A 13,902-nucleotide genomic window follows, 5' to 3' on the forward strand; every position below is an offset into this window, starting at 1 on the left:
CCGCACTCCAGCCTGACAAAGTGAGACTGTGCCTCTAAAATAAATAAATAAATAGTTTTATATGACTATCAGTATCAATAATTAATATAATAATATACTGTATGTTGAAGACACATGTCAAGACAGCAAAGGCAACTACCATTATTGAGTACTAACTAAATGCCTGAGACATTTGCCTTTACAAGCAGCATTTTGTGTAATCCTCATGTTTTGCAGACAAGGTAGCTGAGGCTAGAAGAGATTACGGGACTTCCCTAAAGGTGCACAGCTAGGAGGTGGCAGAGTTGAGATAAGATCTATCCATAAAATCTACAAAGGTAGTATGGAATAATGAAATGAGGACTGAAGGAGGAGTCCAGAAACCCACAATGTAGATTTAGCCACCACTTAGGTGAGCTAGATGTGTTACTTTATTTAACTTTTCGGTCTTCAGTTTATCTTTTTACTGAGAAGATTGGTTTTAATAATGCAAACACCATTCTACAAAAGTAGGGATAATCTACACGACAGATTTTTAAGATTCTGAGGTTCTTTCAAGCTCTGAAATGCTGCATATTTTGCCTCAAGCTTGAAAATGAAAGGTCTATATAATGATTTTCAACAGTCACGTTACTAATGGGAGTGTGCTACGAATACTGCAGGAGTAGAAAAATTTGAAAAGCCATGGTGCCAATTTATAATTCCAAATGCAACTCAGTTTTTGAGGCAAGTCCAGATAGAAACTGGTGACATGGTAAATCTTTTTTTTTTTTTTTTTCCTGAGACGGAGTTTCACTCTTGTTGCCCAGGCTGGAGTGCCAATGGCACGATCTCGGCTCACTGCAACCTCCACCTCCCGGGTTCAAGCGATTCTCCTGGCTCAGCCTCCTGAGTAGCTGGGATTACAGGCACCCACCACCACGCCCAGCTAATTTTTGTATTTTTAGTAGAGACGGGGTTTCACCATGTTGGCCAGGCTGATCTGCCCACCTTGGCCTCCCAAAGTGCTGGGATTACAGGCATGAGCCACTGCGCCTGGCCAGGGGAAGTCTTAAAACCAATGACAATGAACCACTTCAAAGGAACTTCTGGTTGATGGCCTTTATCTTTCTACATTCAGTAGATACAATATTAGAAGCCAGATATTGATGCATATGTTGCTGGAATATTAAGGAAAAGTGTTATTTCTCCATCTGGGATGCAAAGAACTTAGAATAGATGAAAAAGAAGAAAAAAAGACAGGTGACCACATAGAGTTTTGCATGTCCTACAGCATTTATATAGTACATGGGACATTATAAGCACACAATATGTTTTCATTGATTTATGAATAAATATTCCAAATATCAAGTACAACAATGGGAGAAAAATTAATAGAAGAGAGACTTAGGAGCTGATTGCATGAAAGCTGCCCCCTACTCCCGAAAAAGACTAGAACTGAGGGGAAATAGCTACGTATATAACACATAACTTTGTACATAGTCTAGAGTATAATTAAAATGTGTACTGGAATAAATCTAAGATTCAAATAAAAGAAACTAAGAGCTCGTTTACAATTCTATACTCACACAGAGGCAGCTAACCAGGCTAGACAAGTTGACATGTCGTGGAGCAAACATATGAAGCTGCTGAAGGCAAGAGATGGCCTGAGCTTGAACAAGGCAGTCTGGGTTATCTTGCATTACTGCACAACCCAGTAGACAGGAAGTCCTTAAGGTAGAAATTGAAGTACTGTTACCTAAAATAAAAAGCAGAAAGCTTTTAATAATTGGCCTATAAAAACATTACTCTTTAAACATATATTACAGGTTTTAAAATTTACTTCCAGTTTAAACATATATTACAGGTTTTAAAATTTACAGTCACTACAAATCTGTGATGTACAATTTCTTCTACAAAAGTAGGGATAATCTAAGTTACAGATTGTTAGATTAGTTATTCTTTTTTTTTTTTTTTTTTTTTTTTTTTGAGACAGAGTCTCAGTCCGTTGCCCAGGCTGGAGTGCGATGGTGCCATTTCGGCTCACAGCAACCCCCGGCTTCCGGGTTCAAGTGATTCTCCTGCCTCCGGTCTCCCGAGTAGCTGGGACTACAGGCGCACACCACCATGCCTGGCTAATTTTTCATATTTTTAGCAGAGACGGGGTTTCACCATGTTGGCCAGGCTGGTCTCGAACTCCTGACCCGATTCAGTGATCCACCTGCCTCAGCTTCCCAAAGTGCTAGGATTACAGGTGAAAGCCACTGCGCCTGACCTACTTTAGTTATTCTTAATCTGAAAAGTTTATTACAACACAAATTATTAGGCAAAGAAGAACCTAAGACTATCAGTAGGTTATACCAAATTTTCATAAAAAGTGGAATTAGAAATTGCCAATAAACTTAGCCTCACTTGTATTAGTTAAGAATTACTTTCATGTATTATAATCATGTAATAGTATGCAATTTGAACAGCTCGTAATATTTGAAATTTTGGACTTAGCCATTTATTTCTTAAATAGAGAACACAGCTCTTTGGATGATTCTGCTTCATGTCTGTCATTTTAACTGTTAAGGAAGGCATCTTTAGGAGATATGTAATTGTCTAAATATTGTACTCTGTCTTTTCAAGGTAAGAGAAATCAGGCTGAATGGCATTTATACATTCATTTAACAAAACATACAGCACCTATCACGTGCCAAGCATACAGACTAGGAACTGAATTCACTTTTATGTGTATTATTTTTAATGTAAAACATCACAAAAGCAGCTATGCACACCTTGTAGCTCTGGACCTAACGTGGTAATAAGGGCATTCAAACAGCGACCAAGGCTTTGGTGAACTTCAGCATGAGTAGGAGGCACATTTAACAACAACATTATAATAAGAGAAAGGGTAGGTTCCACATGCACATAATAGAGTGGGCCAGCAGAATCAATGATCAATGATAGAGAATGTAATGCCCAGGTCTGTAATGACAAAGAAAAACAATTAAAAACATTACAGCAGCATTAAGAAACATAAAATAAATTAACTTGTTCTTTTGTTGAAGCAAGTGATAAAGTAACAGCAAATGTGAATGCTACTACTCATGTGGAAAGAGAAATGGAGGACTTCCAACTCAGAGGCAATCATCCAATTTAGAATGATATAGTTCATCATTAAGAATTGCAAGTAATAGTTGGTACTTCAGCTAACAGTTTGAATCAAATCTAGTTTGTTGAAAAATTGTTTATTGTTTAATCTATAGAAAGAATGAAAATTCAAGTTTTTAAAAAGATTCAACAAAATCTACAATTACATTCAACAATATGGACAAATCTCTTGAACATAATGTTGAGTGAAGAAAACCAGACATAAAAGAATATATGTTGTATGATTCCATTTACATAAAGTATAGAAGCAAGCAAAACTAATTTATGCTGTTGCAAATTAGGATAGTGGTTATCCTTGGTGGGGGCAGGTAGTTAACTAGAAGACAGTATGAGAAGTGTGTATGGGGTATTGATAATGGACTGTTTCTTGATTTCGGGAGGTGGTTACATAATGTACTGTTTGTACATAGATATGTGCATTTATGGCAGGTGCGCACACACATGCACACACGCACACACACACACACAATGGTTTAAATGAAAAAAGACTGGTCATATACTGATAACCACTGAAGTTAGGTGATGAGTATAATAGATTCATTGCAGTATACTTTCTAATTTTGTGTACGTTTTAATGTTCTATAACAAGAAGTAAATTAAAAGCTCTCTCTTCAGAAAATGAACTGAAAAAGTTTTATTCCTCTTATCAATGGATGTATAAGAAAGCTTACAGTACTTTAAATGCTGCAAAAATGAGCTCCTATTTGTTAGGTGAGAGAGAGCAATCAAGAAAATTCAGAAATGACACTGACAGCCACAGAAAGTATATGAATTAATCAACAAAAAAGGTATTCAATATACAACTAGGTACATTCAGAATAGACTTCTTGAAGAGAGAGAAGAAGAATATAATAGAAGCAAAAAGTACTATATATAAAGACGGGTGAAAAATGGAAACCTTGTAAGTCAATTCAGTCAAGTACTAGATGAAGTGGAGGAGGCGAGTAGTAATATGGTAATTCAGAGGGGGAAAGCTAACTGGATTAAAGCTTGGTGAGATGGTGGTTATACTGGATCTTAAAAGACTAAAAGATGTGGAATATCAAATAGGCATGTAAGGAGAGAAGAGAAAAAGAAAAGGTAAATGTAGACATGAGAATGACATGTGGATAAATCATCTGTAGAAGTCAACACTTTGAGGTAGTAACAGAAAACATCTGTGGGGTCAGTTGATGGGACTGGAATAAAGAAGTTGATTCAAGAAGCAATAAGCACTTTGTCAAGCTTTTCTGCAGGAAAGTGGCAAGATGAAAATCTTTTAGGAAAACGAATTTAGCCTTATATCTAGAGAGAGTTCGAAAGAAAAGGACCTAAAAATGTGACGAATTAGGAGGCTATGACAGTAATTTGGCACACATTAATAAGGGAGACAGATAAGACGACAGAAGGGGAGTAAAAGAACGGGAGAAATAAAAATCATTCCATATTTGATTAAGATAGGAGAATGATGATTTTACTGACAGAAATAGGTAAGATATGTACAACGATATGGTAAAGTGGTTAAGAACAGGAGTTTGGAGTCTATGACTTGTGTTCTTGATCTGATTCCATGATTTATTAGCTTTTCAGTTGTGAGCAAGTTGCTTAGCTTCTTAAGCCTCAGTTTTATTTCCCCATAATGGGCTATATACACCCTAATAAATTATTACAAGGACTAAAAGAATTACTATGAGACTTAGAAGAATGTATCGTAACACCTGGTACCTATTAAGCTCTTTAAAATAGTAGATGCTGTTATTATTATTTATTACTATTATTATTATTTTTGAGATAGGGTCTGGCTCTGTTGCCTAGGCTGGAGCATAGTGGCACAATCTGGACTTATGGCAACCTCTGTCTCCCCGGCTCAAGCCATCCTCCCACCTCAGCCTCCTGAGTAGCTGAGACCACAGATGCATACCATCATGCCCGGCTAATTTTTGTATCTTTTGTAGAGACAGTGTTTTACCATGTTGCCCAGACTGGTCTTGAACTCCTGAGCTCAAGCAATCTGCCTGCCTCGGCATCCTGAAGTGTGAGAGTATGTGCGTGAGCCACCACTTCTAGCCCAAAGCTATCATTAAGATGGAACAGAGATACATTTTCAGAAAAACACACTGAAATTGACTTCAGACTCTGAGTGTGGGGGAAGATTTTAATTTTAAAAATCCACCAAGGTTAACAACGGCTTCCACAATTACTATGGGAGGAAACTATATTCATAAATTATTAATGTTCAATATAAACACAATCTGCATCATCTAAAAATCATGAATTTCAAGGGAAGTATCACATGAGGTACCCACCTGCACATCAGGAGAAGTGCTGTCCTGCGCCAAAGTATAAAGGATTCCAATACAAGAATTTAGGTGTTGAGAAGAACTTATTCCTCCTAAATACCTATGTAGGGACCCCAAGGCCAATGAGTGTCCTGTTCTGGTAACCACATCCCTTGCTGATTTCAATCTGTAAATATAAAAATAAAAATAAACGGTAATCACTGCAAAAGAAAAAAAACACAAAAACTAATGCATGTACACTGTCACTTAGGCAAAACTTTTTATATGGATAGTTGCAAAATTTAGAAATACATTTTTGGCTAACTAATAAAAACTTCTGAAGTAACCGAAAGGCATCTTGCAAAGGAAAACATTTTGAATCAAAATGTCCTCATATTATTAATGATTAGTTTAGTATGAGCAGTTTCAATGTCTTTCATATATATACATGAAGAAGGTTTTTAAGATAAGCATTATTATTACTTTATCATTAAGTTACATTTTAAAAACTCAAATGCTGAGATACTTTAATTTCATAGAGTTTCAACTTAATTTTGATGTTAAAATTAAATAGGCTAGGTGTGGTAGCTCACGCCTGTACTCTCAGCACTTTGGGAGGCCAAGGCGGGAGGATCACTTCAACCCAGGAGTTTGAGATCAGCCTGGACAACATAATGAGACCCTGTCTCTACTAAAAAAAAAAATTGTTTTAATTAACTGGGCGTAGTGTCACAAGCCTGTAGTCCCAGTCACTCGGGAGGCTGAGGCTGGAGTATTGCTGGAGTCCAGGAGTTCGAGGCTGCAGTGAGCCACAATCACACCACTGTACTCCAACCTGGGTGACAGAGCAAGACGTTGTATCGAAAATAAATAAAATTAAATACAAGAGAAGTTAATGTTTATTAGGAATTTTCTATGTACTGTGTGCTCATTTAAGTGGTTTATATTTAGCCCTTCTTTAATCCTCTCAACAACCCTGGAATTCATACTATTATCAGTTCCTGTCTATAGATGAGGAAACCAAAATGAAAGCTCAAATAGCTCTCACAAAATAACCAACTATCAAATGGTAGAGTTGGGATTAGAGCCAAGTTAATAACCTGACTCCATCCTTCAAATCAGACACACATATTCAGTAGGCTCCAAGGTCAAAGTGCTATCAATACTACCACCACCACTCCTAATATAACTTATTATACATATATAACTAATATAACCACAAAGTTTTATTTGTAGGCTTTTTTCCCATATTACTTTTATATTTACTATCTCATTTACCTTAACATTCTTAAGTAGGTAGCGCAGTACCTCCTGGAATAGAAGAACACTGGCTGAGAGGATTAAGTAATCTACTAAAAGTTATACAACTGATAGAAATGAAAGTACAGGCCAGGAGCAGTGGTCCACGCTTTTAATCCCAGCACTTTGGGAGGCTGAGGCGGGCGGAACACAAGGTCAGGAGTTCGAGACCAGCCTGGCCAGCATGGAGAAACCCCGTCTCTACTAAAAAAATACAAAAAGTAGCCGGGTGGTGGCACATGCCTGTAATCCCAGCTACTCGCGAGGCTGAGGCTGATGGCGTGAACCTGGGAGGCGGAGCTTGCAGTAAGCCGAGATCGCGCCACTGCACTCCAGCCTGGGCGACAGGGTGAGACTCCGTCTCAAAAAAAAAAAAGACATGAAAGTACCGTTTGTTTCCTCATCTGCAGCCTACAGCCTTTTCTTTTTCCTGTAGTTTGTTCTTATTACTTATCATATATGTTTTACATTATAAAACTGTATAAATATTTCACTATCCTAGAGTCCATCCCATTGATGATCAATTACATCACTCATATAGATTCTGATCTTTCTTATTATATAAAGACTATAGCTGAAATAGTAGTTGTTTTATGTGCCAAGACCAGCCGGCCAATTTTTATTTTCTTTCCTTTAGCAGTCAACATTTGACAATTTTTCTTTTCTTAGTTAAATCTCAGAATGAAGATCTTACTAGTTCCAACAAGCCAGAAAGCTATACCCAGTTTTGAAACATAGCCTCTGAATATTAAATAAGAAATTCACTTACTTGTCAAAGCTAACTTGAGCTAATCCAGCAGTAAAAGCTCCATCATCTACCACTTGGGCTAATCTAGCCCATGACTCTGCAGCTGCACATCTCAGCAAGGGGTTGGGGCTTTCTAGGGCTCCCATAACTAATGTTAAGGCAAATCTTTTCATTTCTTCTGGACCTAAACATCCCTTGGAGCCAGCCACGTACTGAAATATGTAAAGAACAACCCAAACTTACAATTGTAGTAAATTCTCATATCCAGTTAGGAATGTACATTCTGGTTAACCAAATCCAAATATGTTCATACTTGGATTACTACTTAAAAACAAATAAGAACACAAAAATCCACACTGATAATACAAATATAATTTCATTTTTTTTTACAAAGCACTTTAGAATTTTAAACCTCCAGGCAGCAATACGGTAATCAATTATCATTAAGGTATAAATGGTTTGAAAGAACATTAACAGAGATGTCCACAAAATAAGCGACTAATGAAGTCTATTATATTTTACTGTACATAGAAACGGTAAGTCATAAGTAACAATGAGCTGGATTTGGTCCACAGGCCATAGTCTATCAATCCCTGGCCCAGGATATCAGGATTGGTAGGTTAATGCATGGCTCTATGCAGAGATTATAGGTTTGATTTCTAACAAGTTTTATGTGGACAAAAAGTAAAAGGAGAATTCCAAATCCTGAAAACTTTTCATCAAGAGATTAAGAAAAATGAAGGAAAAAAGAGCATTTTAAAAACATCATCCTCCGACAAACTTCATTGGCTACAAATTTTTTAAAAAATGAAGCCAACATTTAAATGAAAAAAATAATAATTACCTTCAAGAAACTAGAAACTGAAGAAACAACATGTAACTGAACCACTTGCTGACGAGCTCCTTTTGTGTGCTTTATACTGTCCAAAAGCTGTTCCAATATAAGAAGCCTACAATCAGAAATAACAGGATTTAAAAGCAAGTAGGTAAGTTTTTGTTTGTTTGTTTGTTTGTTTGTTTGTTTGTTTGAGACGGAGTCTCACTCTGTCACCCAGGCTAGAGTATACTGGCACCATCTCGGCTCACTACAACCTCCACCTTCCTGGCTCAAGAGATTCTCTCACCTCAGTCTCCCAAGTAGCTGGGATTACAGGTGTGCACCACCACACCCGGTTAATTTTTGTATTTTTAGTAGAGTAGTAGTAGTTTCACCATGTTGGCCAGGCTGGTCTTGAACTCCTGATCTCAAGTGATCCGCCCACCTTGGCCTCCCAAAGTGCTGGGATTACAGGTGTGAACCACTGCCCCTGGCCTCTCAATACCATTTAAACTTCACACTTTAGGTTCTTTAAACTACTGCAGTAATTGTAAGCATGAGAATGCACATTCCAATAACTGGAAAACTAAAATTTGAGATAATACCAACAAATGTAGTCAATATTGATATAACTCCACAAATATTATATGTAACACATAGCCTCACAGAATTCAAGGCAGGAAGACTGCTTGAAGCTAGGAGTTTACGACCAGCCTGGGCAACACAGTGAGACCTCTGATGCTACAAGAAATCAAAAAGTTAGCTAGGCATAGTGGCACATGACTGTAGTCCTAGCTACCCAGGAGGCTGAAGCAGAAGGGTCACTTGAGCCCAGGAGTTCAAGGTTACAGTGAGCTATGATCATGCCACTGTACTCCAGCCTGGGTGACAAAGCAAGATCCTGTCTCAGAGAAAGAAAGAAAGAAAAAAAAAAAAACAATAAAAATGATGTGAAAAGTGCTAAAAAGGTAATGTTAAATGAAAAAAGCAAGAGTTAAAATTGTTTTACATATAGTATAGTCCCAAGTATATTTTCAAAGCATAGTTGGGGATCCAAAGAGCTATGGTGCTTCTGGTTAGCTATAGATGCCATCATAGCTCATTGCAGCCTCGACCTCCTGGGCTTAAGTGATCCTCCAGCCTCAGCCACCAAAGTACCTGGGAGTATAGGAACACATTACCCACACCCTGCTAATTTTTTTTTTTTTTTAAAAGAGATGATATCTCACTATGTTGCTTAGGCTGGTCTTGAACTCCTAAGCTCAAGCGATCCTCCAGCCTCGGCCTCTGAAAGTGCTAGGATTATAGGGGTAAACCACTGTGCCTGGTCATTTTTCTTCTTTTATAATGTTTGTGAATCCAAATTTCATTATATACACATACTAAAATTTATTCAACCACTCTGCTACTGGTGAGAAAAATGTTCGAATTTTCACAATTCTAATTAAGATAAATACACACAATATTTCATGTCCTTATAGCACAGAGGTTTTAATTCCTTATGTCAAGATTAAATACATGTAACCATAAAATAAACCACCCCATCTTACCATTAATTTCTCTTTAAAACATTGTTTCTGTGCCCTATACTTCATTTTCCCTCTTTTCTCCCTTTAAATGAGAAACCTGAAATACGCTGAAGATAACTTTTTCAGTTGTAAATTATCTTGATGGCAGGAAGCTTATAATTTTATCTTCATCTCCCTAATATCTTGTGTTTGGCATGTAGTAGGCAGTCAGGTGTGCTTATTAAGCAAGCATAAAAGACAACAGCATCAGGTAATTAAACACACGGCATGACTGGCTGAACATGAAAATATGGATATACTTTCATCTGACCTTCATGTACTTTCAATAATATCCCTAAGTCCTTTAAAACTAGATCTCCATCATTCTGCTGAGGCTACAAGGCAAGCTGTCCTGTAAATGGCAATTTTATTATCAAATCAGAATAGACATGGGGATCGTGCCTTTAAAAAACCTAACTGTACAAGGAGTTAAAGAGTAAAAAGGAAGGTATCGAGGCTATGTGTACATCATAAGGGTTGGGGAAAGCAGTATGTATAAAATCAATTTATAAAATGTAATAAAGGCCAGGCGCAATGGCAAACACCTACAATCCCAGCACTTTAGGAAGCCAAGGTGGGAAGATCACCTGATGTCAGGAGTTTGAGACCAGCCTGGACAACATGGTGAAACTCCATCTCTATTAAAAATATAAAAACTAGCCAGGCGTGGTGGCATGTGCCTGTACTCCCAGCTACTTGGGAGGCTGAGGTAGGAGAACTGCTTGAGCCAAGAGTGGAGGTTGCAGTGAGCTGAGATGGCACCGCTGTACTCCAGCCTGGGTGACAAAGCGAGACTCCATCTCCAAAAATAAAAAATAAAAATAAAAATAAAAATAAAATGTAATAAAAATGGTGGAACACTAAGAATACTTAGAAAAGTACTTATTTCCTTACTTCAAGGTTAATTGTATTTATCGTAATAAATTTGAAAAACTCAGAAAAGCACATTAAAAAAAAAATAAAATTTACCCCAAATCCCACCACCTACAAAGAGCCGCCATTAACATTTTGACATCTTTGTTCTTTTCTCCCTTAGACATATGAGTAAAATTTTTAGAAAACAGAGATTGTATTGTACATACTTTGTTAATAACTTGTTTTGTTTCCCCTAAACAATATTATCAGGGATTTTCCCATCTTATTAACTATTATATGGTTTTACTATAATAGTATTACTGAATAGCTACTAGTATTGTATATTCTGGCAACATAATTTATTTAACCAACTTCCTAGTTTGGGACATTTAGGCTATTTCTAATTTTTCTTATTACAAATAACATGCTAAGTATCTTGCATATGAAAATTTTTCTGGTGGCTCACGCCTGTAATTCTAGCACTTTGGGCGGCAGAGGCAGGAGGATCGCTTGAGCCCATGAGTTCGAGACCAGCCTAGGCAACATAGTGAGACCTTATCTCCACTAAAAAGAAAAAAAATTAGCCAGTGTATTGGTGCCTGACTGTAGACCCAGCTACTTAGGAAGCTGAGGCAGGACGATTGCTTGAGCTTGGGAGACTGAAGCTGCAGTGAGGCAAAATAGCACCACTGCATTCCAGCCTGGATGACAGAATGAGACGCTGCCTCAAAAAAAAATCACAAAAACAAACAAGAAAAGTTTTCTGCCCATTGTTTAAGTCCATATTTAAGGCATTTTTTGTTTTTTTTTGAGATGGAGTCTCGCTCTGTCGCCCAGGCTGGAGTGCAGTGGCGTGATCTCAACTCACTGCAAGCTCTGCCTCCCAGGTTCATGCCATTCTTGTGTCTCAGCCTCCTGAGTAGCTGGGACTACAGGCGCCCACACTACACCTGGCTAATTTTTTTTTATTTTTAGTAGAGACGGGGTTTCACCGTGTTAACCAGGATGGTCTTGATCTCTTGGCCTCGTGATCCGCCCGCCTCGGCTTCCCAAAGTGCTGGGATTACAGGAGTGAGCCACTGCGCCTGGCCGGCATTTTTTTTTTTTTAAGAACATATTTATGTCCAAAGCAACCTACAGGAAGATTACGGAGGGTAAATGTGACAACAATGGGGAATTAAGAATAACTGTATGATCAAGCTCCCAAGTTTAAAAACCTATAACGTCATTATTAGATCATATCCTACATCTGTTATCATGAAATTGTATCGCACTGGAAGTTATAAAAATACGTAAGGTTAGAGATTAAGAATTTGTTGCACTGTACTATAAGTTGACCTATACAATTATTTCTTGACCACATTCATGGACCAAAGACTACAAAACAGGATTGTCAGAGCTCAAAATCTTTTTCTTCATCTTCTGCCCCCCAATCCTGAAAGAGATTGAATACACTATTAACTAATCAAGGATTCAAGATATATGACACCAATTCCTATAGAGATCTCAACAAAAGATTCTGATCTTCAGGAAGATGGAGATGAGTTATTTTTAGTAATACTGAATTAGTACTCATAAGTAGTATCAATTATAACATATAATTATCAGTTTGGAATGAAATGATAGGTACTAAAAGTTTTGAGTCTAGATGGAATAAAAGTGCAGTTAACTGAATAAAGGGTGAAGATGTAACATTTGAAAATGTTGATTTATTTTACATTATACATTTTACATTATAAACCCTTTAGACAGGGGGTACACACAGTATACACAAAACAGTAACCACAAACAAAAACAAAATAATACTTTTTAGAGGGTATATAATGGCAAAATTTTTTACTACTGAGAATTATAACTGTTTAAGCTTTTCCTCTCTGTCCATCCATTCCCAAGTGACATCATTTGTTGAAGCAGTCCATTTATCACAATCACCTAAGGAGTTTAAAAACTTTCAGTGCCCACCACCATAGTATGCATACCATACTAATCAGGATCTTCAGTATCTTAAAAATTTGCCTGGATAATTCCAATGTGCAAGTCAGGGGTGGAACAATCCTCAGGTGAATTAATCAACTCATTCTTTGCAATTAGATGAAAATCTATTTAAAAGCAACCACAAACGCAGGCCAGGAGCAGTAGCTTACACCTGTAATCCCAGGACTTTGGGAGGCTGACGGGGGCAGATCACCTGAGGTCAGGAGTTCAAGAACAGCCTGGCCAACATGGCGAAAGCCCATCTCTACTAAAAATATAAAAATTAGCCAGGCATGGTGGCGTGTGCTGTAGTCCCAGCTACTCGGGAGGCCGAGGCAGGAGAATCACTTGAACCTGGGAGGCGGAGGTTGCAGTGAGCCGAGATGGTGCCACTGCACTCCAGCCTGGTTGACAGAGCAAAACTCTGTCTCAAAACAAAACAAAACAAAAAATAAAGTAACCACACACAGGCTGGGCATAGTGGCTCATGCCTATAATCTCAGCACTTTGGGAGGCCGAGGAGGGCGGATCACCTGAGGTCAGGAGATTGAGACCAGCTTGGCCAACATTATGAAACCCCATCTCCACTAAAAGATGCAAAAATTAGCCAGGCATGGGGGTGCATGCCTGTAATCCCAGCTACTTGGGAGGCTGAGGCAGGAGAATCACTTGAAACCCAGGAGGCGGATGTTGCAGTGAGCCACCGCACTCCAGCCTGGGCTGTCTCAAAGAAAAAAAAAGTAACCACAAACAATACATGATTGAGATCAATATTATTTCTTTTCTGTATAAAATATCTTGACTTTCCAACCGGTAAACATTTTTACGTTAGAACCCTACAGTCAGAATAGAGAGAATCAACTAATTTAAAAGACAATTACATATGCATTAATAAATTGTGCATTAATTTATATTACGTAAGTATTATTTCCAACCTTAGGACAACCACATGTTACACAACTGTTTAAACATAAGGCTAACCACAATAACAACAAAATGGCTTGAAATATTCGGTTGCTGTTTAAATTTAGATACTTTAATTAAGACCTTTCTTCTCTAGAACTCAAATGTAAGGCCAAAAAGCAAACAGCCTGATATTTTACATAAATATCATATCTGGCATAACAGGAAATTAGAAACTTAACTTCCCTATTCATGTAGTTTCTATCTTCTGGTTCTGTAACGACACCTACTGGAGACTGTGGATAACTGCTTATAACCCACTTTCTGTATCTGGGATCTTGCCAGGCCACTTCTTTATAAATATAT

General features: G+C 37.7%; 1 protein-coding gene across 1 annotated transcript in view; it reads right to left on the reverse strand.

The window, feature by feature from the left end:
* Positions 1-13,902, reverse strand: part of HEATR5A (HEAT repeat containing 5A) — a 128,763-nt gene that overhangs the window by 50,561 nt on the left and 64,300 nt on the right. Inside the window, exons 17-21 of the mRNA NM_015473.4 lie at positions 8,264-8,369; positions 7,441-7,631; positions 5,400-5,559; positions 2,739-2,928; positions 1,548-1,717 (exon numbers count right to left, since the gene is read on the reverse strand). Coding sequence (NP_056288.2) covers positions 1,548-1,717; positions 2,739-2,928; positions 5,400-5,559; positions 7,441-7,631; positions 8,264-8,369 — 817 coding nt within the window. The remainder of the gene's footprint in view (positions 1-1,547; positions 1,718-2,738; positions 2,929-5,399; positions 5,560-7,440; positions 7,632-8,263; positions 8,370-13,902) is intronic.

The sequence above is a fragment of the Homo sapiens genome, chromosome 14 (assembly GCF_000001405.40).
Source record: "Homo sapiens chromosome 14, GRCh38.p14 Primary Assembly".
NCBI classification, from domain to species: Eukaryota; Metazoa; Chordata; class Mammalia; order Primates; family Hominidae; genus Homo; species Homo sapiens.